Here is a 26,727-nt window from a genome sequence, read left to right as displayed (position 1 = left end):
ATTAACAAAACTCACAATTACTAAGAAAAACAAATCACATGACTATCTTCATAGATGATGAAAAGGCATGTAATAAAATCCAGCATTCATCCTAATAGGTAAAGAATTTCAACAAAATAAGAATTGATCAATTCTTACTTAATTATAAAATATGTTTATCTCAAATCCAAAGTCAATCTCCTCCTTATCGGGGAACCTGCCCCGATAGTCACATAGGTTCTTTTCTATTTTCCCTAAGCATTGGCTGGTTTGAGAAATAAAGGGACAGAGTACAAAAGAGAGAAATTTTAAAGCTGGGTGTCCGGGGGAGACATCACATGTTGGTAGGTTCCGTGATGCCCCACAAGCCGCAAAACCAGCAAGTTTTTATTAGGGACTTTCAAAAGGGGAGGGAGTGTGCGAATAGGTGTGGGTCACAGAGATCACGTACTTCACAAGGTAATAGAATATGACAAGGCAAAATGGAGGCAGGGCGAGATCACAGGACCACAGGACTGGGGCGAAATTAAAATTGCTAATGAAGTTTCGGGCACCATTGTCATTGATAACATCTTATCAGGAGACAGGGTTTTGAGAGCAACCGGTCTGACCAAAATTTATTAGGTGGGAATTTCCTCTTCCAAATGAGCCTGGGAGCGCTATGGGAGACTGGGGTCTATTTCACCCCTACAGCCTTGACCATAGAAGACGGCCACACCCGGGGGGGCCATCTATAGACCTACCCCTAAGTGCATATTCTCTTTCCCAGGGATGTTTCTTGCTGAGAAAAAGAATTCAGGGATATTTCTTCCATTTGCTTTTGAAAGAAGAGAAATATGTCTCTGTTCCGCCCGGCTCACCAGCAGTCAGAGTTTAAGGTTATCTCTCTTGTTTCCTAAACATTGCTGTTATCCTGTTCTTTTTTCAAGGTGCCCAGATTTCATATTGTTTAAACACATATGCTCTACAATTTGTGCAGTTAAGGCAATTATCACAGGGTCCTGAGGCGACATACATCCTCCTCGGCTGACAGGATTAAGAAATTAAAGTAAAGACAGGCATAGGAAATCACAAGGGTATTGACTGGGGAAGTGATAAGTGTCCATGAAATCTTCACAATTTATGTTTACAGATTGCAGTAAAGACAGGCATAAGAAATTATAAAAGTATTAATTTGGGGAACTAATAAATGTCCATGAAATCTTCACAATCCATGTTCTTCTGCCATGGCTTCAGTCGGTCCCTCCGTTTGGGGTCCCTGACTTCCCGCAACACCTCCTTGCTGAGTAAACACCAAAAACATATTCTTAATACCAGAAACAAGACAAGAAAGGAGGAAAAATAATTATTATCTTTATATTATATGACTGTAAACTTGGAAATCCTAAAAGAACCAACTACTATGCACACCTGTAGTCCCAGCTACTCAGGAGGCTGAGGCAGGAGAATCGCCTGTATCTGGGAGACGGAGATTGTGGTAAGCCTAGATAGCGCCACTGCACTCCAGCCTGGTGACAGAGCAACACTCTGTCACATAAACAAACAAACAAACAAAAAACCCAACTACTATAAACTATGAGATTTTATTCTGAGTATAATATTAATATACCAAAATTAATGATATATATATATATGTGCAGCAACTAATCAGAAGATATAATGGAAGAAACAACAGTTTCTTTAGCAATTAGAAAGATAAATTGCCTAGAAATAAACTCTATAAGAAACGAGCAAGATTTATGTAAAGAGGTATTAGAGGTCGGAGTCCTAAAAACAACTTCAGGCTCTCCAGTTAGATGCACTATCTTGGTATCAGGCAGGTGGAGGTTAGGAAACCATCCTCCTGTGGCTTTGGACACCTCCCCTGAATAGGAAGGTTGTGGCTTCTTTGTCACAAGTTTCAGTCCTTATTCTTCAGCTTCCTGGGTGTTAAGAAGCAGTAGTGACTGTGGCAGCTTCTTGATCAAACTCAGAAATCCCTAGATCACAGATTAAGGTGTCCACATTCAGGCCATGGCCTTGGTGCCAGGCCTAGCCTGGCTCCAGTGGCCTCAGACCCAGCAGCTTCCTTGGTAGACTGGCCCAGTAGAGTTGTTCACTCCAAGATGTCCAGCCCAGAGCTGTTTCTCCAGGCCTTCCACCGATTTGGTAAGAACTTAGTTCTCTTTATTAAATATCTTCCTGTGTAAAATACACACAGTGATTTCTGTTTTCTGTACTGAAATTTGACTGACAAGTTTGGTATTGGAAGTGGTTGCAGAAATCAAACCCTGAAACTGGGAATCTGGTACTGGCTGGGTTTGAAGACAATGGTGGATGGTGGCCTTGTCACTTAGTGGAAAATGGGATGCTATGAATCTAAGCATACAGAAGAAAAATTATGTAAATTATCACCTTGGATGAACAGTGAAAGTACATGGTCACCTTGGATGAACAATTTACTGACAGTGAGTCTTCAATGGCTGCTATTGTAGGTGGTTATGAAGGGAATGAGAAATACAGGAACTGCTGGGTGGGTGGGTGGGTTGACTTTTCTGATTGTATTGTAGAGTTTAAAGAGAGAGAATGAAGTATTATGAAGATTCAAAAATTAAAATCTTATGATTCTGGTACAGAGATAAACCAACAGATTAATAAGACAGAATAGAAAGTTCATAAATAGGGAAGGAAATTTAGTATATGATAATGGTGGCATTTAAAATCAGTAGGGGAAATACGGATTATTAATGAAATGGGGTTGGAAAAATGTGTAGCTATCAAGATATAAAGTTGGATCCACTCCATTTACCTCAAATCAAAATAAATTCCTGATTGGTCAAATTTTAAAAGTAAAGAACATGGCTGGGCATGGTGGCTCATGCCTGTAATCCCAGCACTTTGGGAGGCCAAGGTGGGCAGATCACTTGAGGTCAGGAGTTCAAAAGCAGCCTGGCCAACATGGTGAAACACAGTCTCTACTAAAAAAATACAAAAATTAGCCGGGTGTGGTGGCACATGCCTGTAATCCCAGCTACTCGGGAGGCTGAGGCATGCATGAGAATTGCTTGAACCTGGGAGGCAGAGGTTGCAGTGAGCCAGGAGTACACCACTGTACTCCAGCCTGGGCGATACAGCGAGACTCAGTCTCAAAAAAAAAAAAAAAAAGTGAAGAACATAACATCATGAGATGTAAACAAGAAACCATGGAAGAATTTAAAAAGTAATTGGGCCAGGCATGGTGGCTCATGCCTGTAATCCCAGCCCTTTGAGAGGCCGAGGTGGGTGGGTCACTTGAGGTCAAGAGTTCGAGACCAGCCTGACCAACATGGTGAAACCCTGTCTCTAATAAAGATACAAAAATTAGTTGGGTGTGGTGGCTTATGCCTGTAGTCCCAGCTTCTTGGGAGGCTGAGGCAGGAGAAGCATTTGAACCCGTGAGGCGGAAGTTGCAGTGAGCCTAGATCATGCCACTGCACTCTAGCCTGGGGAACAGAGCTAGACCCGTTAAAAAAAAAAAAAAGTAATTGAAGAGAGAGAGAGGTGGAGGTCTTTCTAAGTACGATGCAACCCAGAAGTAGTACGTAGTAAAAGAAAAGCCTGGTAAAATTGACCAGTTAGAAATAGAAGTTTTCACGGCCAATAAACAAAAACAAAAACAAAGTAGCATAAGATAAATCAAAGGACGTGACAAACTGAGGAAAAGTTTTGACATTCATATCTAAGAAAAAGGACTGTTCTATTATATAAAGAGTTTCTATACATAGTAGAAAATTAGACAATACAAATAAATAGATAATTCACAGAAAATGAAAGACAAATGTCTCTTTAACCTGAGAAGATGCTCTCGAACTCACTCTTCATAAGAAAAATACGACTTAAAATGTTTTTTCATCTACTAGATTGATGAGTTCCATTTCTGACCAAAATAGAGTAAGTCCACTGCTGCCCATGTCTGCTACTGATTGATCACTACTAAAACCTCTAGATAAAATGTAAAGAACAACTACCCAAGGACTCTGAAAAGTAAATAATAGCAGGTGGATCATGATGGCAGGGAACTCAAAGCCTGAAGAAAGACAGATAGAGTAGTAGTGAGAGTCTTGTTTTTATTTTTTTCTCCTTTACCTCTTGGCTTTGATCTGAGGACAGATGAATAGGGAATTGTCAACCAGACACTATCAGCAAAATGTCCGAGAGAAGCCGGACCATGTAGCCACAGGACCAGGAAAAAAGTCTGCTGCAAGCTAGAGAAAGTGGTGGAAACTGCTGATTCCTTTTTTTCTCTCCCTCCGTTTCCCTGAAGCCATTCCCTGTCTGGGAGCTGCCCTGCAGTGGTATGGTGACACAGTCACCTGAGAGAAAACCTGTCCTTCTGGACAGAGGAGTTGGGAAAAGGGACTCTTGGAAGCCAGAGAGAACATGGAGGAAATACCCAAAGAGAGACAAGTGGAGAAAGGAATCCCTAATTCTGTGTAATTGTTTGACATGCAGTCATAGGTAATTGATACAGTAGTTCTCCTTAGCCACAGTTTCTCTTTCCATGGTTTCAATTACCTTCAGTCAACTGAGGTCAGAAAACATTGCATGGAAAATTCCAGAAATAAACATTGCATAAGTTTTAAATTGTGTGCCATTCTGAGTATCGTGATGAAATCTCCGCCTGTCCTACTCCATCCCTCCTGCGATGTGAATCATCTCTTTGTCTGGTGTGTCCATACTGTAGGTCCTTGTATTAGTCCATTCTCATATTGCTATAAAGAAATAACTGAGACTGGGTAATTTATAAAGCAAAGAGGTTTAATTGGCTCTGGTTTTTCAGGCTGTACAGGAAGCATGATGCTGGCATCTGCTTGGCTTCTGGGAAGGCCTCAGGAAACTTAAAATCATGGCAGACAGCAAAGGGGGAGCAGGCATATCACATGGCGAGAGCAGGAGCAACAGAGAGAGAGCAAGATGCCACACACTTTTAAACAGCCAGATCTTGTGAAAAGTCTCTCACTATTTCGAGGACAGCACCAAGGGGATGGTGCTAAACCATTCATGAGAAATCTACCCCCATGATCCAATCACCTTGCACCAGGCCCCACCCCCAATACTGGAGATTACAATTCAGCATGAGATTTAAGTGAGGACACAGATCCAAACTATATCAATGCTACATACCTTTTGGTCACTTAGCAGCCATCTAGGCTATCAGGTCGAAAAAACATAATATATACAGGGTTCAGTACTATCTGTGGTTTCAGGCATCCAGTGGGGGTATTGAAATGTGGCTAAGGGGGACTACTATATAGGGATCTATGTCATTAACTCAGGTTTGCCATTTATGCTGTCCAACAATTTGCTATACTTAACAGAAAGTTTTAATTTGTTAATTGTGGAGATGAAATAAGATTATACAAGAGAAAATGACTTTTATATTTCCATTCATTTTTCTTCCTAATTCCTCCAGCCACATAAATATAAGAAAATGAAATTATATGGAGGATGGCCGTGCGTTCTAGGATGAGAAGATAAGAAGAGTACAATTTAAAAACAAAAGTCTAAGGAGTAATTCATGTCTAAACTTATTGAAGTTCATAAATAATTTGTCCTGATTTTCAGAAGAAAGAGAGAACTTCTGAACATAACCACACAGGACCTACAAAAAGATAGCTGCACAAAAACTGGTTAATAATGTTGTGAGCTGCCATGATAGCATCGGAGGACTAGAAAGAATGACAAACTGCTCCTACCAAGTAACGAGTCTTCTGCTCCTTTCTTTTAGTTTCCCTGCCTCCTGCCTGGAACCTGGAAGACCCAGAGAAGGGTGGGGAGTAAAGAACAGACCAGCCTTCTCCGCACTGCAGTTTGTTGAGGCATTGATCTGGCCAAAGCTGGATGTATGGAGGCAGAAAGTGTTCATTCATTTTTTAAATTTTTCATTTCAGAATTATTGCTTGTCTGCTATGGACCTAACACTGTTCTAAACATTGGGGCTGGTAATCCTCCATTATCTGTGGGAGATACATTCCAAGATCCACAGTGGATGCTTGAAACTGAGGATAGTATAAAACTCTATGTATACTATGTTTTTTCCTACACATACATACATACTATGATAAAGTTTCATTTATAAATTAGGTACAGTAAGGGATTAACAACAATGAATAATAATAAAATAGAACAATTATAAAAATAGACTGTAATAAAAGGTGAATATGGTCTCTCTCTCTCTCTCCAAATATCTTATTGTTCTGGCCTCACCTATTTTCAGACTGTGGTAGACCCTGGGTAACTAAAAACACTTAAAGCCGGCAGGGCGCGGTGGCTCACGCCTGTAATCCCAGCACTTTGGGAAACCGAGGCAGGCGGATCACCTGAGGTCAGGAGTTCTAGACCAGCCTGGCCAACATAGTGAAACCCTGTCTCTACAAAAAATACAAAAATTAGCTGGGCATGATGGTGCGCGCCTGTAATCCCAGCTACTCAGGAGGCTGAGGCAGGAGAATCGCTTGAACCCGGGAGGCGGAGGTTGCAGTGAGCCGAGACTGCGCCACTGCACTCCAGCCTGGGTGACATTGCGAGGCTCTATCTCAAAACAACAACAACAAAAAGTCAAAAAGTGTGGTGGACAGAAGAAATAGGAGAGCAGGTAAGGAAATGGTGGGGTGAGGAGCAGATGAGAACAGGTATTAAGTAGGATGGTCAGAAAGGGCCTCAGGGAGAAAGTGAGAGCCCAGCAAACACTGAGGGAGGTGAGGAAGTGAGCCAAGCAGCCAACCGAGGGAAGAGCTTTCTGGGCAGAAGGAATGGCTGGGGCAGACTCTGAGCCTGGAGGTGGAAAGGTGTCTGGCGATTTCTAGGAGGAGCAAGGGTTTTGGGATTTGGCTGTGGTTGGATGTTAGGTTTTAATTATAAAAGGATCTGCGTTTTTCACAACTTGAAAGTGAGCTACAGTTAAAATGAGACTTGTTCTTATACCTGAAAGTGACCAGAAAATTAGGTTCTGGTCTTTAAGAGATGGAAGAGGGAAATGTGAAGGGGCGTATTCCTTTCCCCTGCCCCGACCGCTCGCGGTTGGAGAGCCCAGCCACATGCCGCCCCGGCTCGGAGTGACAGCCCAACCAGGCCTCTGCCTTCTCGGCCGCGCCTCTCCCGCTGCCGTCCGGATTTCGATGGGTGGTACAGTACGTTAGGCACGCCCCTCCCTTTCTCCCGGCCTGGTCTCCTGTTCCAGGCGACAGCCCAATGAGGGCTGCCTTTTTTTCTTCGGACCGGTTCCAGTCTAGGTTCTCGTCCACTACGATCGCCCAGTGAGGCCCCGCCCCTCCCACCGCAGTTCCGCCCCTCCCGGAGCTACCGCCCAGTGAGGCCCCGCCTCTCCCGCCGCGGCCCCGCCCCCCTGCGTGTGACCGCATCTAGGCCCCGCCGCGTCCGCCACGCCCAGCGCTCGGCGGCGCCCGCCCCACTGGCCTGGCCCGCCCCCCGCACCGAGCACTCTTTCGCCCGGCCTCCGGTTCTCGCCGGCTCTCGGACCCGCCTCCGAAGACGTGGAGCGCTGCGGCGGCTGGTGAGTCGGGGAGGGCACCTCGGACCCCCCAGCTGTCCGCAGCAGAGCCCGGCCCCTTGCAGCCACAGAGCCCCGGCCGCTGCAGGCTCCAGGAGCTCCGCCTGGTCGCCGCCCTGCGTTCCCGGGCCGCCTCCCGGTGCCAGCACCCCTGGGGATGGGAAGTGGGACCAGGATGGGCGCGGGGGCTGTGGGGGCAGGGACGAGTGAAGGTGTTGCGGGGAGCGGCGGTCGCAGGGGAGGGGAGAGGTTTGTGGAGGGGATTATGGGTCTGGGGCGAGGGTTTGAGTCCTGAGAGAAAGGCGGTGAGGCGGAAATTTGGGGCTGGTGAAGTCAGGATGGAGGATGTTGGGGGCCTCAGCGCTTTGGGGAAGGAGGCAGTGAGTGGGGTGGTCGGCGGAGCGGAGTGAAGGGTGGTTTTTAGAAGGGTCAGCTCGCGGGTCCCGGGGTTCTTGCTTCCCGGGCAGTCCGGGGATCAGGGCGGACTAGGCTGTCTCCAAGCAGGTTTGGCCGGAGCGGGCTTGCAGGATAATGCTCACATCGAGGTGACTGAGTTTCCAGGCTTTTGACTGGGACATACTGTACAGTTTAAATAATAGATACCTGTCTGGCTAGTGCCTGGGACACCTGAGAAACGTGGATGGAATGGGGTTCTCCCCTATAGGCAGCGTCTGATTTTGTGGGTGCCTTCACAGCACCAGCATTGGTGTGCGCTGCCTTCTGTAAAACCTTATATTCCAGCAGGACGGTGTATGGAGATCCCAGACTTAAAAAGTGCAGCTGAGGTTTATTCAGACTCAAGACACAGTTGTATCATATTGCCTTAAATCCTGCGGAGTTTAAATCTAATCCTGTGGGGTTTAAAGCGGTTAAATCCACTTTGTAGTGTCTACTTTTAATTTAAAGTCATACAAATCTAGAGGACTAGATGTTTTCTAAGGGCCCATTCTGCATGATAAACAGTTTAAAATTCGCTATGGAAAGTAAATCATCTGTTCTGAACAGCTGTTGCTGAAAGAATCGTAGAGTTGCAGATGAATGAAATTTGAAAGATCTAAAATAATGGAAGGGCATAGAAAAGTCTTGATAAATTGAAGTGTGTAAATGCACTTAAACCCACTGAAACTTTTTTCTTTTTGTTTTTTTTGAGACGGAGTCTTGCTCTGTCGCTCAGGCTGGAGTGCAGTGGCACAATGTCTGCTCACTGCAACCTCCGCCTCTCGGGTTCAAGCGATTCTCCCGAGTAGCTGGGATTATAGGCGCCTGCCACCATGCCCGGCTAATTTTTGTGTTTTTAGTAGAGATGGGGTTCCACCATGTTGGCCAGGCTGGTCTTGAACTCCTGACCTCAGGTAATCCTCCCACCTCGGCCTCCCAAAGTGCTGGGATTACAGACGTGAGCCACTGTGCTGGCCAACTTTTTTCATTGTAGACAACTTGGAAGACAGAGAAAATTATAAGGATGAAAATTAAAATCTGTAGTTTTGCCACATGTAATAACATTTTGATGCATTTCTTCCTAATTTTTGTATTTTTGTGTATATGAATGTACACAAAATTAGGGTAGTATTGTTACCTAATTGGGGTAATATTGTTATATTACTTCATACTTTTGCTTTTTCTTTCCACCTTACATTTTCTCACTTAGCATTTTTGTGGATCAAATTCTTCTTAAACATCTTTGAAAATGCTTGTATAATCATTCATCATGTGGATTCATTCTTTTTTTAAATATTAGAGTTTTAGTTATGTGCCTAGTACTGTGCTTGGAGGTGAAAAATCAGTGTTCCTCAAATGGATATATTTGTCATGGCTTGCATGAGAGCTGTACTAAGCCTTTTTCTCATCTGTCAGTTAAATTGTCTCTAGCCTTCTGTTTTTATAAGCAGTAAACCTTTGTTTTAATGGTTAAAAGCTCACAATAAATCTCATGTCATGTGTGAATCCAAAACTGTTATTTTTAATGTGTATGAGTTTTTGTGTGTATGTGTTAGGAAATTACGGAATTTTGGGTGGAAGAGGATTTTTTTTTTTTTTTTTTTTGGACAAGGTCTCACTCTGTTGCCCAAACTGCAGTGCGTGCAGTGGTGCAGTCACAGCTCACTGCAGCCTTGACCTCTGGGGTCAGGTGATCCTCCCATCTCAGCCTCCTGGGTAGCTGGGACTACAGGCGAGAGCTTCACCGTATCCAGCTAATTTTTTTTTTCTTTTTTTTTGTATTTATTGTAGAGACAGGGTTTCGCCATGTTGCCCAGGCTGGTCTTGAACTCCTGAGCTCAATAGATCCACCCCCCATGGACTCCCAAAGTGCTGGGATTACAAGCCTCAGCTACTGTGCCCAGCCCCTGGAAGAGGCTCTTTTTAAAAAGTTTCTTGTTTTGAAATAATTTTAGATTTACAAAAAGTTGCAAAAATAGTACAAATTTCCTTATGCCCTTCACCTAGCTTCCCCAGATGTGAACATCTTAGATGACGATGGTGCAATTGTTGAAACCAGAAAATTGACATTGATACAATTCTATTAGTGTAATCTACAGACCTTATTCAAATTTCACTAATTGTCCCACTAATATTTAGGATCCAGTCTGAGATCCTACACTGTATTTAGTCGTCATATGTCCTTAGCCTCTTTTAACCTGAGCATCCTCCTAAACAGGATGACCTGGTGCAGACCTGTAAAGTGAAGCAGGCCTGCTAGAAAGCACACACCTCCCCTGAATTCATATCCAAAACCTATCCCTTAGAAGGGGATATTTATCTTCCTTTTCTATATGAATAGACTACTGTTTGATTAAGATGTATAACCATAGCTGGGCACGGTGGCTCACGCCTGTAATCCCAGCACTTTGGGAGGCCGAGGCAGGCGGATCACGAGGTCAGGAGATCAAGACCATCTTGGCTAACACGGTGAAACCCCGTCTCCACTAAAAATACAAAAAAAAATTAGCCGAGCATGGTGGCGGATGCCTGTAGTTCCAGCTACTCGGGAGGCTGAGGCAGGAGAATGGCGTGAACCCGGGAGGCGGAGCTTGCAGTGAGCAGAGATTGCTCCACTGCACTCCAGCCTGGGCGACAGAGCGAGACTCTGCCTCAAAGAAAAAAAAAAAGACGTATAACTAATAAGGTGCCTTTTAATTACTTTTATATGCCATTTCTAAATCTTCTGGGAGTTACAGACTAGAAAGCATGATCTGAGTAATCCATGCTTATTATCTCTTTTATTAGTCTATGAATTGGCAGTGGGAATCTTTCAAAAACAGAGTGCCAGATGCTGACTCCAGTCCCTGGGTCTTTTGGAGGAAAGAGTAATGGCCTTTACTCTTTACCAAGTGTGATCAACTTGTCCCAGTTTTAAAGGTCTGTGTCTTGGGAACTTCTTCAGCCCAGGGCCACCTCACAGCCTCTAGAGCATTTCTACTGAGATGCCACAGTATATTTCTGACATTATTCTAGCCAAAACAAGCAAACTCTTGGCAGTATCTGGGGTAATGAGAGTAGATGGAGGCATGAGTGAGAGGAGGAAATATTCTTGTTTTCCTCACTGGTGCTTCCATGGCTAGACTCAGTTGAGTGATTGTGTGCAGAGGTTAGTGCAGCATCTAATCCGGCCTGGGCTGTTGTGGCAGGACTGTCTTCAGTATCCTGTGTCTCACCTCTCCTGTACCTTCCTGTGGAATCTTAAGGGCATGGAGTTCCCTCAGGGAGTGGTCCTCACCAGCTTCCCTAAGTTATCTGTGTTACTGAGAAACTGTTATAGTAAGGATGGGTGTATGCGGGGCTGATTCTCCATTCTCACGTCTGTCTACATCTGTGTAACTCCCCAAGGCAGCTGCCCTAGGTACAAGGAGGGAGGCTCCCACAATTGCTCTCACCATTAACTGCCTGCCTGTAGGTAAGTAGTGTCTCTGCATCTCGGGTCCTCTGGAGTTGGCCTGGCCCTCTTTTAGCCTGGCCATTAAAATTGCAACTTTTGTCCTATGGAGATTCCTCTCATCTTCCAGCTTGAGCAGTGCGGTCCTTCATTTTTCTCTTACTGAAGTGTTTCCTAATCTGCTTCATAACTGAGAATACTTTTCGTTCCTGTTTCTCTTTGAATCTGGAATAAGGTGATTCCTGAAGACAGTGTTATGCATTTCCTTCTTAACCTTTGAGTTTGTGATAATTCCATTGACTTTTTTTTTCTTTACCCAAATTCAGGAAAAGAATAATCCCCAGAATAAAGAATCCATTATTCTTTTCCTGATCCTTGTTAAAATAACTCCCCACTCTCCACACACTCCCCTGACCTCTCCATGGTGAACTCACAGTGTGTTTCTCTACATCTTGACCACAATGGTCAGACTTTACCTCTTGTGGGCCAGTGATCCAGTTGTTAATGTAAAAGCCACATGAATTTAACTTATTTGTAGGTCTCTCTTTGACCCTGTGTGCAATTCGACACATGATAAAGAACACAATTTGGGATCGCTGTCTCATAATCCCACGCCCCAGGGTCTGTGTGGAACCTGGCTGCTCTGTGCCTTATAATCAGCCTGGCTGCTGTCCTGGCTGAGAGTCCCGATCAAAGGAGGATATTGGCTGCAATACAGAAATCATTCTACCCTCTGGTGCCCAGGAAGTCTGTATGGTCAAATCATTGTTTTTAGATTGGCCCCAACTGGAACCATAAGGTTTGTGCTACACCTGCAGGAAGACTTAAAGCCTTCATGTCCCTGTCTGGTATTTTGTTTCCATTTTTTCATCTCGTATGCTTGGTAATGGTAGAGCAAGTTCCCATTAAGACCCTCTGGTAAAAGTAGATTCCAGAACTCAGTTTAGGCCAAGGCTGCCATGAGGCTTCTTGTTTCCACCGCTTTACACCTTACACTTGATATTTACGTCATTGAGCCAGCTAATTAGAGAAGAGAGACTGGAGCAAGCCTGGCCAGGGAACTGCAAGATGAAAGTCTGTCACATCCATAACCCTGCTGCATGAAAAAACACAGAGAGGGGCAGGAATAACCCAAAGAGAGGGGATCCCCAGAGGTTTTACTATACAGGCAATTCCCTGAGGAGTGGACCTACCCAGGTGGGATTACCATATGGGGACAGACATTTCCTGAGCAGAGAGCACCCCTGGATGGAACTTCAGGGACAGAAAGAAGAGACAGCTTAAGTAAGCTGGCCTGTATGTGCACTGTGGCATAACGGCTGGCACAAGTGTAGAGTGACTGAAAATGGGCACAAGAGGAGCAGAGCTGGTTCTTACTGTGGACCGTGTCACTGCAGTGTTCAAAGCTCCAAGAGCATCTTATGTCCTGGAGCCTTAAAGGGGCTAGGCTTACCAGCTTGCACTAAAAAAGCCCAGCAGCCTGTCTTCCCTCTACCTACATGATTCTCATTGCTTAAAGCAGAATCCAGGCAATGCCAGCACTTGTATTGGTCTTGAGGTTATTATTGAGCTGCAGCATGCACCTGCATGATTGTAGCAAGGCTAGTGTTATTTTTTGATGATGAGGGCATAATATGGGCTTTGACTTTATTGGCTGGTAAGTTCACAAAAAGAAAAAAACAAAAGGTTGTCTTCTGATGGCATGGTGTTGTTCAAAGAGCATTGGATTCCAGTTCTGCTTCTGCCACACCGGTGGTGTGACTTTGGGTCTGAGTAACATGATAGCGAGGGCTTTCTGAGTAACATGATAGCGAGGGCTTAACTGATCTCTAAGATTCCTTCCCCTCTTAAAGAGTCTATCATTGTCCAGCTCTCTGAAGCTTTGCAGTCTCCTGGATAGGTGCGGGATGGAAGATGATATGCTTATGTACGGATCCTTTTATTTCACATACTGTTGAGTATGTGACCTTTCCTCAGAACAAACCACATTTTAAATCTAGGTAGCTTTTATATAAGGTTGGCATGCTTTTAATCTGGTGAAGAAAAGCAAAATATCTTGTATCATATAGTTAAAAAATGCCATTTGGTAGCCGGGCGCGGTGGCTCACACCTGTAATCCCAGCACTTTTGGAGGCCGAGGCGGGCGGATCACAAGGTCAGGAGATCGAGACCATCCTGGCTAACACGGTGAAACCCTGTCTCTACTAAAAATACAAAAACTTAGCTGGGCGTGGTGGCATGCCCCTGTAGTCCCAGCTACTCGGGAGGCTGAGGCAGGAGAATCGCTTGAACCCAGGAGGCGGAGGTTGCAGTGAGCCGAGATTGCGCCACTGCACTCCAGCCTGGGCAGCAGAATGAGACTCCGTCTCAAGAAAAAAAAAACAAAAAACAAAAAATATATACACATATATATATGAAATTTGGCTTTAACTGAAGTGTGTATTTTACATTTGCTGTTGAAAATGTGAGGCTTCTATACTATTTTACAAATATAGAGCCACTTTTTTTCTGATTATAAAAAATACCCACTCATTAAAAATCAAATTAAAAAAAGTAAATAATAAAATAAAAATTATCCCAAATGCTACTACCTAGGAAGAACAACTTGGAGAAATATATCTGAGTAGCCATTGATGCAGCTTTTATTCACGTAAACAGACACACACACACACAATAGCTTGATGTGTGCATATACACATGCTTCAGGATGTGGACTTTGGTGTCAGGCTGTCTGGTTGTGAGTCCCAGCTCCCCTGTTTGCTACTGCAAGATATTGGACAGTCTATTTAATCTCTTTCACCTAAGTTTTCTCTTTGGTAAAATGGTAGCATTAAAGTTTCTTCTTCAAGGGGTGAGGATTAATTCACATAAAAATGTACACTGGGCTACAGTGTACATTTGCATGTGGTAAATCATTAGCAAATGATAGCTGGTGTTATTTTGATATTACTGTTTATTTATTATGTATATTTATATGATCATACTTTACATTTTTTACCTTACAATGTGTCAGGAAATCTCTCCATGTTAATAAATATAGTTGGGTCTGTATCTCAGTATTAATGGTTCTATTGTATTCTTGTACCAGACTTTAGCCAATTTCTTGTTGATGGACATTGAAATATTAAGTTGTTTTTTGCCATAAATGCATAAATAAAAATCTGTAATGAACTTTTACATGCATATTTGGCTTAATTATCTTTTTGAGATAAATTCCATAAAAAACTGTAATGAACCTATATATATATATATATATATATATATATATAGTTTAGTTTTCTTCTAAGAATTTGGGATAAATTCTTAGAAATAGCATTGTTATGTTGAAGAGTATGAACGTTTAATATTATTTTTCTTGCTGCCTCTCTGCTTTCTGGAAATGTGATATCAAATTATGACATCTGTCAGCAATGCGTGAAAATGGTAGATTTTCTACACCTATCCCCAAACTGGGTTCTTTCCATTTTTTAGCTTCAGCTGATTTGAAAAGGGAAAAGTATCTTATTGTTACTTTGCATTTTTAAAATTGGTGACTCTGGACATCTTTTCAAATGTGTCTTGGCATATTTCTTTTATGAGTTGTATTTTTATGTTTTTTTATTTTCTGTTGTTGATTTGTAAGGACTCTTTGTATATCAGGGATAGTGAAATTTGTCTGTCATATTGCAAATACTGTTAAGGTTGTGCCTTGCATAATGAAAGGCATAAAGTATCTCAAATGAGAATAATCAGTGAGCAAATAATATATGAGTTTGTAGATAGTGCTCATATACATGTTTAGAATGGAAACCTGCTTTTAGTGTCTCAGCAAAATTGTTTTATGATCTGGTTATTATGAATAAGGTTGTCCTTTTATTACTCACATTGAACAATGCATAAATGTTCAAAAACGTTGACCTTTGATGCGTGTCCCCAGATACTCTGCGGAACACTTTATTGTTCCCTTAAACTAGACATTCTTTCCAACTTTGCTATTTTTTTCACGCATAGTTATTCTTCCCATATCCAAGATTGGAAACCTTGGGGTTTTCTGTGTATCTAGTCTAAGTTGAACGCTGTGTGGCTCCCATCATCCCTTCCCAGACAGTGCCCTCTCCTGAGGCTACACCTACTTTTTGGGTTCCTGCTACTGTACTTAGCCCATGTGTTAGAATAATTTGATGCATGCTTGCTTCTGCTACTAGACTAAGGGCTCCTCAAAAGCAAGGTGTAGACTTTATTTACCTTTGTACCTTTTGACTCTCATGGCCTGGCTCATAGTAAGCACATGATAAGTGTTTATTGTATTTGATATTTCCATTTTGAAGGTGATGAACTCAGCCTCTGTATTCTACTAGTAGGTTAATATTCGCCCCCACCAGCTTTTTATTATGAAAAATTTCAGTCAGGAGAGTTAAAAGAATACCACAAAGTATACCCATATTCTCGCCCAATAGATTTACTTACTGAGATTTGTATTACTCTGACACAAAATCCTCTGCTCAGAAACCTACAAGAACGTACTGGCCATTGGATCAGATGTAAACTATAGCATTTGTTATCCTTAAATGGCTGCATCTAATAAAATGTAGCCCCTCTGCTCTGGTCAGGCCAGTCTTCTTATTGTTCTTTTCCCATGCTGTCTTTATTCTTGCTTCACTGATTTTACACATTGTTCCTTTTGTAGAACATGTGTCCCCCATTGCCTGGTCCAAAATTTTTATGCATTAAGTGTTCTGACTGCATTATTAGCTATTTGGAGGTGACCACTAGATTTTGTCTTGATCTGATTTCCTTCATTGAACCTAGCATGTTGAATATTGATTTGGCTGGTATCTTTCAATAGCATTCCTGATACATTTGGAGTATAACTTGATTTTTTTTTTTTTTGAGACAGAGTCTTGCTTTGTCTGTCACCCAGGCTGGAGTGCAGTGGTGTGACCTTGGCTCACTGCAACCTCCACCTCCCAGGTTCAAGCAATTCTCTTGCTTCAGCCTCCCGAGTAGCTGGGATTACAGGCGTGTGCCACCACGCCTGGCTAATTTTTGTATTTTTAGTAGAGACAAGGTTCCACCATGTTGGCCAGGCTGGTCTCGAACTCCTGACCTCAGGTGATCTACCCACCTCTGCCTCCCAAAGTGTTGGGATTATAGGCGTGAGCCACCGTGCCCAGCCGGGAGTATAATTTTAATCCAACATTCACTTAGAAGGCCTTTTTTGCCCCTGACAAAACCTAAGCTCTGTTAGAGGAAAAAAAAAGTTGAATGGTTCAAGCCAGATATCCTGAATCTGTTTAATCAGATTGCTGCAAGATTATGATTTCTACTGAAGAAAAGAAAGATGTTATGCAGTGTTGGCCACTCCTTTGTGATTGTTCCCTTGAGTTTGATTTACCTTTATACTTTGGAGTCATTAAAGCTTGTATGAAGTGCACAGTTAGAATAAGTAAGTCCAAAGTCTGAAAATTGCCCTGGTTGAGAATCACTGGGTTAGACAGGGTCACCTGAAAAACACTTTAGAGCAAGGCCTTTAAGCCTTAAGTGACTGACTCCATTTGTATGTCTCCAGCTTGGCTCCACTATTTTGCAAGCTTGGTAACAGAGCTGAAGGTGGTATCCCTGAGAAAGGCAGGGAAACTGGGAAGGAAGCTGAGGCTGGGGAGAAGTGTATGTTTAGTTTTGGTTTTATTGAGACAAGTTTTAGTGAGATAACAGTGTTGGAAACTCCTGAGGGAGCTCAGCTTAGAAGACAAAACTAGAGACAGATTGCAAAGACAGCAACACAGGTTAGAGTTTGAATTTAAGAGAAAGAAAGAGGGTTTAGAGGGAGAAATAATACAGAAAGAAGGCAAAAGTCTTGAGATTGTTTCTTGGGCATATATATATATATATATATATATATATATATATATATATATATAAAATATTTAATTTTCTTTATTCCACTGCACTTAAAGGAGGAATGATTTGGGCATATTTTTGCAGATAGTGGTGGGGAAGCCAGAAGGAAAAGGAGATTCTAGAGGTAGGGAGAGAATCAAGGTAAGAAAGCATTCTGGAAACCAAGGAAAGAGTCTATGATAACTTTGAATTTAAATGGAAGTGTTTTGTTTTTTGTGCATCTAAAAGTGTTATTAATATTTTTTAACAGCAAGTTTGGGCTATTCCAACAAGAATATCTTTGACACACTAGGTAGACTACCTCTACCCTATGGCTACTTATTTTACTATCAGCCTTATCATATTTGTTCTTGCTGGTTAGAGCTGGAAACTTGATCAGAGTTGACTAGAATTTCTCTGAAGAGAGTTTAATTCCAGAGTTTTAATATTCTATTTATACTAGTAGCCAGTAATAAAAAGGTTACCATTTGTTGCATGCCTGCTATGTGGCAAGCACTGTGCTGTACATGTCTCTCATTTCCTTTCACACCATTCACTGTGGCATGTACTTTTATTAATCCCACTTTACAGAAGAGGATAAATAAATTGCATAAGGTCACATAACTGAGAGGTCATGAATTGAATTTGAATTTATGTCTGTCTGTCTCCAGAGATCAAGCTCTTAATCAATTCTAATAGTTAGACATAATTAACCAAAGTCCAAATCACTAGAACAAAACAAGACAGAGGGATTGTATACTATTAATCAGAGTAAGCTAGACTGCTGTATTGTTTAAATCCTGACATATGTAATAGGCTCAAACATAATAGATTTCTCACTCATGTAACTGTTCAAGGCAGGTATTCTGGATTGGTAGGTGGCTCAACTCCCTTCTGATTTAGGAAGCCATACTTCCCTGTCTTGTATCTCCCCAGTATCTCAGTGGCCCATGGAAAGGGAAATAAAACATTGAGGAGAGATAGAAGCACTCCCTTAAAAGCCTTGATCTGGAGTTGTGAGTACTTCTGCTCACATACTATTGTCTCGAATTTAGTCTCATGCTCACCTAACTCCAACTGTGTGGAAAATGTAGCCTAGCCGTGTACTTAGACAAAGAAAGGGAGAGTGGATTTCAGAGGATAGCTCAAATTTCTGCCACAGGAACCAAGGAAAAAGGATTGGGTAGAGAACTAGACAAGAAACCTTAGACAAGGTCTTGAAGATTCTCTTGATACTCTCCTGAAGTTATCCTAAAAATGCAGGTTCTTTTGGGGTTCATTTCAGTCAATAGGATACAATTTCATAGGCTTTCATTTTTACAGATTGGAAAGGACTACTTATTAATTGCCCATTAAATAAATTATTGAGGATTACTGATATTTAGTATTCATAAAATAAAACTGGTATACTTCTAGAGTTCATTGAAGTCTAATTCAGCAATCTACTAAAATATCTAGCTGTTTTTCTGTGCCTGACAGTGTGATAAAGATTAATTTGCAGACACATGCATGTACAGTCATGTATTGGATAATGACATTTTGGTCAACAACAGACTGCATATATGTTGGTTCCATAAAATTATAACAGAGCTGAGAAATTCGTGTCACCTGCTGACATCGTAGTGTAACACAGTATTCATGTGTTTGTGGTGATGCCGGTGTAAACAAACCTACTGCGCTGCCAGTTGCATAAAAGTAGCACATATAATTATGTATAGTACATAATACCTGACAATGGTAATGAACCCACTTTTACTGGTTTATGTATTTACTATACTATACTCTTAATCATTATTTTAGAGTGTACTCCTCCTTATATTGAAAAAAAAGTTAACCATAAAACAGCCTCAGGCAGGTCCTTCAGGAGGTATTCCAGAAGAAGGCATTGTTATAGGAGATGACAGCTCCATGTGTGTTACTGCCTCTGAAGACCTTTCTGTGAGACAAGACGTGGAGGTGGAAGACAGTGATATTGATGATCCTGACCCTGTGTAGATCTAGGTTAATGTATTTGTGTCTTAGTTTTTAAAAAAAAGTTTAAAAAATTTAAATAGAAAATGGCTTCTAGAATAAATATATAAATAAAATATTTTTGTACAGCTGTACAATGTGTTTGTATCTTACTGTGTTATTACAGAAGTCAAAAAAATCAAAAAGTTTATAAAGTGAAGAAAACTTTTTAAAATATATTTAGTATAGCCTAAATGTACAGTGTTTTATAAAGTCTACAGTAGTATACAATAATGTCTTAGGCCTTCACATTCACTAACCACTCACTCACTGACTCACCCAGAGCAACTTCCAGTCCTGCAAGCTCCATTCATGGTAAATACCCTATACAGGTGTATTCATTTTTAAATATTTTATACTGTATTTTCACTGTACTTTTTCTATGTTTAGATATACAAATACATATTATTGTGTTACAATTGCCTACAGGATTCAGTGCAGTAACATGCTGTATAGGTTTGTGGCCTTGGAGTAATAAGGCTACAAACCTATACATACCTATACTGTATAGCCTAGGTATGTAATAGGTTATGCCATCTAGGTTTGTATGAGTACACTCTATGATGTTTCCACAACAGTGAAACTGCCCATTTCTCAGAACTGTCTTTGTCATTAAGTGATGTATGACCGTAAATGGTTGGAATTCTCCAAATTGTTAGAAGGATCCTTTGTTATCAGTTCATTGTTGGTGTTGTCTTCACTTGGTCATGATTTTGGCTTGAGGTTTACTTTTTGGCTGCTATTTTTTGTTATTAATATTTGGGCACTGTTTTACTTGTTTTATACATTTAATTTTGCTTTAGGTCAGAAGATTCTGTAATATGGTTTCACTTTGTCATTTTATCTTGAACTGTTTAGCTCATCTTCAACAGAGTTGTATGGTAGATAATTCAAAATGAAGATTTCATTTAGTAGGAAAAAACATACAGAATTTGGATATCTCTAATGACTCTATTTTCTCTAGTTTTAAGCTGTGTATCATGGGAAACGAACTTCTTGCTTACTATGAGCTTAACAAAGTAACTTCTTCATTCAATTTTCCTCTTGGTTTTTAAAGTATAAATTATAGGACTTTAGGAAGATTACATAGAATTGTGTATTTAGGTACCAATACAGTGTCTTATATGTAGTGAGAAATTCAACAAAAGAGAAATTTAGTAAAGAGGAAATTAAATTTAAAAGGCGGTAGGGGAGTTCCTATATTACAAAAGCTGTCTGTTCACTAAATATAAGATTGCTATGTTCCAGATGCCAGATCATTTGCAATCATTTCCTTCTGTCTTAACACTCTTGGCCAGGCACATGGCTCACACCTGCAATCCCAGCACTTTGGGAAGCTGAGGAGGGAGAACTGCTTGAGCTCAGTAGTTTGAGACCAGCCTGGACAACATAGGGAGACCCCATCTCTACAAAAATGAAAAAATTAGCTGGGTGTCATGGCACGCACCTGTGGTCCCAGCTACTTGGAAGGTTGAAGTGGGAGGATTGCTTGGGCCCCAGAGTTTGAGGCTGCAGTGAGCCACGATCACACCGCTGTACTCCAGACTAGCCTGGGTGACAGAGCAAGACCCTGTCTAAAAACAAAACAAAACAAAACAAAGGCCATGTGCAGTGGCTTATACCTGAAGCTGAAGTCCCAGCAATTTGGGGAGGCCAAGGCTAAAGGATCACTCGAGCCCAAGAGTTCGAGATGAGCCTGGGCAACATGGCAAAACCCTGTCTCTACAAAAAATACAAAAATTAGCTGGGAATGGTGGCACATGCTACTACTGTACTCCAGCCTGGGCAAAAGAGTGAGACCCTGTCTCAGGGTCAATTTTTGTATGTTTGAAAATGGCTTTATTTGTCTTTTATTCTTGAGGCATATTTTGACCAGGTACATAATTTTGGAGTAGCCATAATATTCTCTTGGGACACTGAAGATACTCTTTCAGTCTAATTATTGCCCTTCAAGGTACTTTGTCTTTATTTTTCTGCTTTAAGAATTTTCTCTCTCTTGGCTTTTCTGATGTTTTACTGTGCTTTTTCTTTTTATTTATCTTGATGGAGGTATATAGAGATTCTTAAATCTGTGCCTTGGTATATTTTGTCAGCTTTGGGAAATTCTTGGTCAGTCTCTTCAGATATTGTTTGTACTCTAATACCTCCCCCTTTTAGTTCCTTGTAGTTCCTTGTCTTTTACTCTTTTTACGTGTTTTCTTCATTTTTTGTCCTCAGGGCTCAATTGTAGATATTTTCTTTGTGCCTGTGTTATCATTCAATGGTTTTTATCTTTAGCTTTGTCTGATTTTCTATAAAGCCTTCCTTGGGTTCTTAATTTTGACTCATATTTTTAAATTCTAGAATTTCCATTAAAAATAATTTTCAGTTCTTTGCCAAAATTATCAATCTTGTCTTTTAGTTCTTTGAATATATGATCATTATTTTAAAGTCCTTTCACTTACATTATTTGGATCTATTATGTGTTTGTTTCTATTGCTTGTTACTATTTTTCATTTTCATACGTAGTAACTTTTCTCCTGATTGAGATGATGCAAACCTAGAATTTAGTTCCTATCGGGGTGATCTAATTCTCCTTCACTATTATGTTTAGAATGTAGCCTTTTCAGATCCCAGTTCAAAGTGGGGATTTTATCTGACTGTCTTCCTTGGTGGGTTCTCTACTAATTACATGTTTTGTCCCCTAGCCTCCCATGGCCAACAGAAGCCCTGCTTAGTGTCTCACCCTCTCAGCAGAGGCCCCAGAGAAACTGGTTGCAAGTGCTTAGCTTTCTGGACTCCATTATTTCCCATTGCCTTGGTTTTTTTTTTGTTTGTTTGTTTTGTTTTTTTTTTTTAGACAGGGTCTTGCTATGTTGCCCAGGCTGGTCTTGAACTCCTGGGCTCAAGTGATCCTCCAGGCTCAGTCTCCAAAATAGCTGGGATTACAGGTGTAAGCCACCATGTCCAGCTTAGTTGGCTTTTTGTTATTCACAAATTTTTAAAAATACAGGTCACATATTCTTTATCCAAAATGCTGGGACCAATAGTGTTTCACATTTTGGATTTTTTCACATTTTGGAATATTTGCATTTATATAATGAGATCTCTTGGGAATGGGACCCAAGGCTAAACATGAAATTTATGTTTCAAATGCACTTTGTACACATAGCCTAAAAGTAATTTTATATAATATTTTAAATAATTTTGTGCGTGAGATCAACTTTGTGCTAAGTACTTACGTGTGGAATTTTCCACTTCTGATGTCACATATATATGCACATATATATGTATGTGAGTGTGGGTGTATATTGTCTAGTTGTCTTCAGCAGAAGAGTTTGAACCCTTTAATCTGCTGTCCTGGAAGTGGAAGTCTTGGCTTGTGTTCATAGTTAATGTGTCACTTTGAGGATGTGTAGTTTTGGAGGAAATGTATAGTAGTGGTTCTGCCTAGCTGAGATGGGTACTGTAGAGAGTTCCATATAATTACACCTTGACTACCCATTACCCACTAACAGTTTTCTTTTTCTGTCTTTTTTTTTTTTAGTAGTTATATTCAGTCCAGTTGTCTGCTTCTATAGATTTAACCCCGAGCTATCCTTTCCTCTTCATTGTCATTGTTCAGACCAGTATCAGCTTTTTCTAGACTCCTTTAATGGCCCCCTAACTGGCCTCCCACACTCTAGGCTGACTCTTTGTGATCTGTAATAGCTCCCTACCGACTACATCAGTTCTCTGCTCATAATGAATTGGTGACTCCCATTGTATGTTAGACAAAGCCCATTTCCTTTGTAATCTGGGACCCTAGTTGGATACCAGCTCATTCCCACCCTTCTTTCCTCCTACACAAAGTTAATGTTCCCACCATACCTAAACATTTGTATTTCTCTAAGCCTCTTGGCTGTTTTTTCATCATTATTTTCTAGGGAAATATAATTTTGTCTACTTAGGATACCTCTCATTGTGTATCTGGCAAACTGCTACTCATTCCTCTGAATCCTGTTCAGATGTCACATTCTTTGAAAATACTTTCTTATTCCGCTTGTGTGAGAGCACATTTTACATCGTTATCCTTCATTTACACAAATGTCTATTCTGCTGCATTCTGAGCTGCTTATAGAAAAGGATGGCGTTCTTTCCAAAGCTTGGCTCACACATGTACTTTGAACCATTGGTTGAGTCTGTCATATAACCCATCTGAATCACGAGAAATTTGCTTTTATCTTGGAAGCCAGAATTAGGTATAATTGGGAGAAAATGAAGTCTATAGCATATTTCTCTTTGCCATAATAACAACCCATTTTCACTCTTTATTTTAATTTTCCGCAGATTTGTCAAAGATGAAAGTGACCTTATCAGCTTTGGATACTTCTGAGAGTTCTTTCACACCTTTGGTGGTCATAGAACTTGCTCAGGATGTCAAAGAAGAAACCAAAGAATGGCTGAAAAACAGAATTATAGCTAAAAAAAAAGATGGAGGTGAGTAAAATAGTCACTGCTCAGACTTAGTCTGGCCTCCCACACTGTATGCTCAGCCTCCCACACTGTATGCTCAGTCACTAAAAATGTATTTGCAAATGTGTTTTATAATTTTCGTTGATATATTTTATTTACTAATGTTAAATTTTTTGCCTTTTATTATCTATCTGGGACTTGAAAGGAGGTCCTAAATCAACAGGAGGCTTTAAGTTCCCATTAAACTGAAAGCAGCATGAGTGGTTTTCTTCACAGCTCTAAATAGTATGCCTACCACACTGTTTGGTGCATAGTAGGTGCTTAAAAAATATTTGTCAAATGAATGGACAAGTATCTATTGTATGCTCTTTATGTGCCAGTTATGGTGCTAAGGGAGAGATAAATATGGTCTCTTCCTGCAAAGTTGTTACCATCAGGGTAGAAAGAAATTCAAAATAAAGAAAAGTACATGGAAGAGCTGTCACAAAGCAGTGCATGGCATGAACAAATGAATCGTGTATACTTACTGTAAAAGGAAAGGAAAGGGTTAGATGACACTATGGCAGTACTTTCTTCAGTGGCAAGGAATGACTTAAGATGCCAAGGTTTAGCTTTCTCTTGACAGGTGACATGGGTTCCCAGTCTGGGTGAGAAAGCAGCGGGTGTTTTAGTGTTTTACATGAGCAAGTATTTTGTAAACTATACAAAACAACACCTTAGTCTGCACAGTCTCTGAACACTGAACTAGACTTAGACTCTTTAAAAAAAAAACTGTTACTATAAACTGAAGTTATTTCTTAAGAATAAAATTGGAATCAAAGTGGAATTAAAATTTTTTTCAAACAGTTGAACCAGAAGGAAACTTAAAAGCAGGAGTATTTGCTTGCTGAAATGTGAGCATTTCACTGAACTTAAGTCTGTTCTTTAAAATTTTTGTGATTTAGGAACTATGTAGTGTTTCAGTGTGAAAGATTCCAGTGTATTCCCAGCCATCTTTTTGCTGATTGTGTGCCTTCAGAGACACACAGGGAAGGGATGGGCATCTTTCCACACTTTTTGGGCGATCATAAAAAATCTTTCCAAAAAAGTGTTCTGCATCTTCCAGGTGAAGGGAGTAGATTTATACTCATGTTTACTTTGATTATCTTCCAACCTCCTGTTAAATTGACAATAATAATAAAATGGTTAAAAAATATATAAAAGACCGAAGTCACATGGACCAAAAAAAAAAAAGAAGATACAAGAGCAGCAAAAATTGGAAGCTAGGAAACAGGCGGCTGAATAGTTATTGACTTGTCAGATTTGAGAAAGCCAAAAGTTAAGCTGACAGGGAAGGAAGTTGAGATGCAATTTGGTTTACTCTGCACAATACCCACAATGACTCAGGAATTAGGGACACTGGATCTATGGAGGTGGGGATAAAAGTAGGACCAAGAAGAAAAGATAAGTGTTTGAGATCCATATAAGAAATGATACAGAGTTTCAAATAGCTAGAAGGAGGATATTGAATGTTCCCAACACAAAGAAATGATAAATGTTTGAGATGATGGGTATGCTAACTACCCTGATCTGAGCACGCTACATTATAGGTATTGAAGCACTACTATGTACTTCATGAATATATACTATTATTATATGCCAATTAAAATAAAAATAAATAGATCCTTGAATCTCTTCCATATTCTACAACCCCAGCAGAAGACTTGAGGTTTATTCTCTGGAGATGGTCAGATGCATGGTTTTTGGCATAGAAATCTATGCACAGTTGAAGGCACAGATTCTGTACTGAAAATAAGATACTGAATACCATTCCCCTTTCCCCTACTCCACCACTCACATACCTAATTCAGTTTCCAAAATATTAACAACAAGATTCACACCTTGTAGGAAGCAGATTGGACAATCTTTCTTTGGAGAACCTGACCAGCTTAAGACAAAATAACGAAAGGTGCAGAAATCAGGGGGTTGCTAACGGAAGATTATTTGACAAGACTGCCTTGCATTAAAGGCCATCCTTGATGAGCTCCATCTAAGCCCTCAGAACTTCTGTTTAGACTCATACAGCCCCTTTCTTAAACGTGAACATGTAATAAAAGATCACCAAACATCTGAGAACAATTCCTAACATGAAAGAGAAATCTAAAACTAAACAGATAAAAGCAACAGACTATTCAGAAGAAGAAAACCAAAAGATAATAAACATCGCAGCACTCAGAGTTACGAAAAGATATAACATCTATAAATCAAGAATAGGATATTATAAAAATCCTTTAGGAAAAAAGCACTCAGTAAAATTATTAGAAGATAATATTGAGACAAGCCTCCAAGAAAGAAGAGCAAAAAGGTAAAGAATTGGAAAATATGAGAACAAATAATAAGAAAATTAAAGGACTAGTTCATGAGGTACACATCTGAATAAAAGGAGTTCTAGAAAGAGAACAAAGAAAAGTGAGGTGTGAGGGCAGAGTGAAGAAAGAGTTCTCCAAGAAGATGATGTTGATAGGTTATCTTTTATGTCAGTGGATCAAGGAGAGAGACAGTTGGCAGAGAACTTGGGGGTTTGTATTATAGATAGGTACATAATAAACTATGCAAATGATAAGACAGCAACTTTTGGGAAAATGGAAAGTATGACAAAGGAAAATCATAGCATACTGTAAGGCTTAGCTCTAAATAACATGTAGTCATAATCACCTACTGACTTGAAACCAAAGGATGACTTAACCATACTGTGAGAATAGGTGATGGGAATGATGAATGGAAATGGTGAAGAAAGAAAGGGAGCTAAAAATCCTCATCTTCAATGCTTAAAACTGAAAAATCAAGAAATAGCTCTATAAGCATGTTATTTGATGACATGAAAACAAATAACAAAGGAGTCATCTGAACAATTTGAAAGGGAAAGGTTAATGGAGGGGAGGAAGACCTTACATTAAAGGCCATCCTTGATGAGCTCCATATAAGCCCTCAGAAGTTCCATTTAGCCTCACAGAGCCTCTTTCGTAAACATGAACATGTAATGAAAGATCACCAAACATCTGAGAAA

General features: G+C 40.6%; 1 protein-coding gene across 25 annotated transcripts in view, besides 3 other annotated features; it reads left to right on the top strand.

Moving 5' to 3' along the window:
* ANO10 (anoctamin 10) overlaps nucleotides 1–26,727 on the top strand; it is a 325,747-nt gene that overhangs the window by 62,176 nt on the left and 236,844 nt on the right. For 20 of the 25 annotated variants that reach the window (NM_001204833.3, NM_001204832.3, NM_001204834.3 and 17 more), the window contains exons 1-2: nucleotides 7,408–7,510; nucleotides 23,556–23,705. In NM_001204833.3, the coding sequence (NP_001191762.1) occupies nucleotides 23,567–23,705 (139 nt within the window). In that variant the 5' untranslated portion in view covers nucleotides 7,408–7,510; nucleotides 23,556–23,566. Of the gene's footprint in view, nucleotides 1–7,407; nucleotides 7,647–23,555; nucleotides 23,706–26,727 lie in introns of those variants that run through there. The other 5 variants (NM_001346466.2, NM_001346467.2, XM_047448429.1 and 2 more) reach the window with 2 other exon arrangements.
* Nucleotides 5,834–6,486: an enhancer, noted in NCBI's record as "H3K27ac-H3K4me1 hESC enhancer chr3:43664425-43665077 (GRCh37/hg19 assembly coordinates)". NCBI's record gives its function as "activates a minimal SCP1, AML or CMV promoter by ChIP-STARR-seq in naive H9 embryonic stem cells {active_cell/tissue: H9 hESC(naive)}" and the evidence as "EXISTENCE:reporter gene assay evidence [ECO:0000049][PMID:30033119]".
* Nucleotides 6,487–7,139: an enhancer, noted in NCBI's record as "H3K27ac-H3K4me1 hESC enhancer chr3:43663772-43664424 (GRCh37/hg19 assembly coordinates)". NCBI's record gives its function as "activates a minimal SCP1, AML or CMV promoter by ChIP-STARR-seq in naive H9 embryonic stem cells {active_cell/tissue: H9 hESC(naive)}" and the evidence as "EXISTENCE:reporter gene assay evidence [ECO:0000049][PMID:30033119]".
* Nucleotides 7,195–7,694: a silencer, noted in NCBI's record as "silent region_14256". NCBI's record gives its function as "represses an Ori minimal core promoter by ATAC-STARR-seq in GM12878 lymphoblastoid cells {active_cell/tissue: GM12878}" and the evidence as "EXISTENCE:reporter gene assay evidence [ECO:0000049][PMID:35858748]".

The sequence above is a fragment of the Homo sapiens genome, chromosome 3 (genome assembly GCF_000001405.40).
Source record: "Homo sapiens chromosome 3, GRCh38.p14 Primary Assembly".
In the NCBI taxonomy this organism is placed as follows: Eukaryota; Metazoa; Chordata; class Mammalia; order Primates; family Hominidae; genus Homo; species Homo sapiens.
This window is presented reverse-complemented; position numbering and strand designations above follow the sequence as displayed.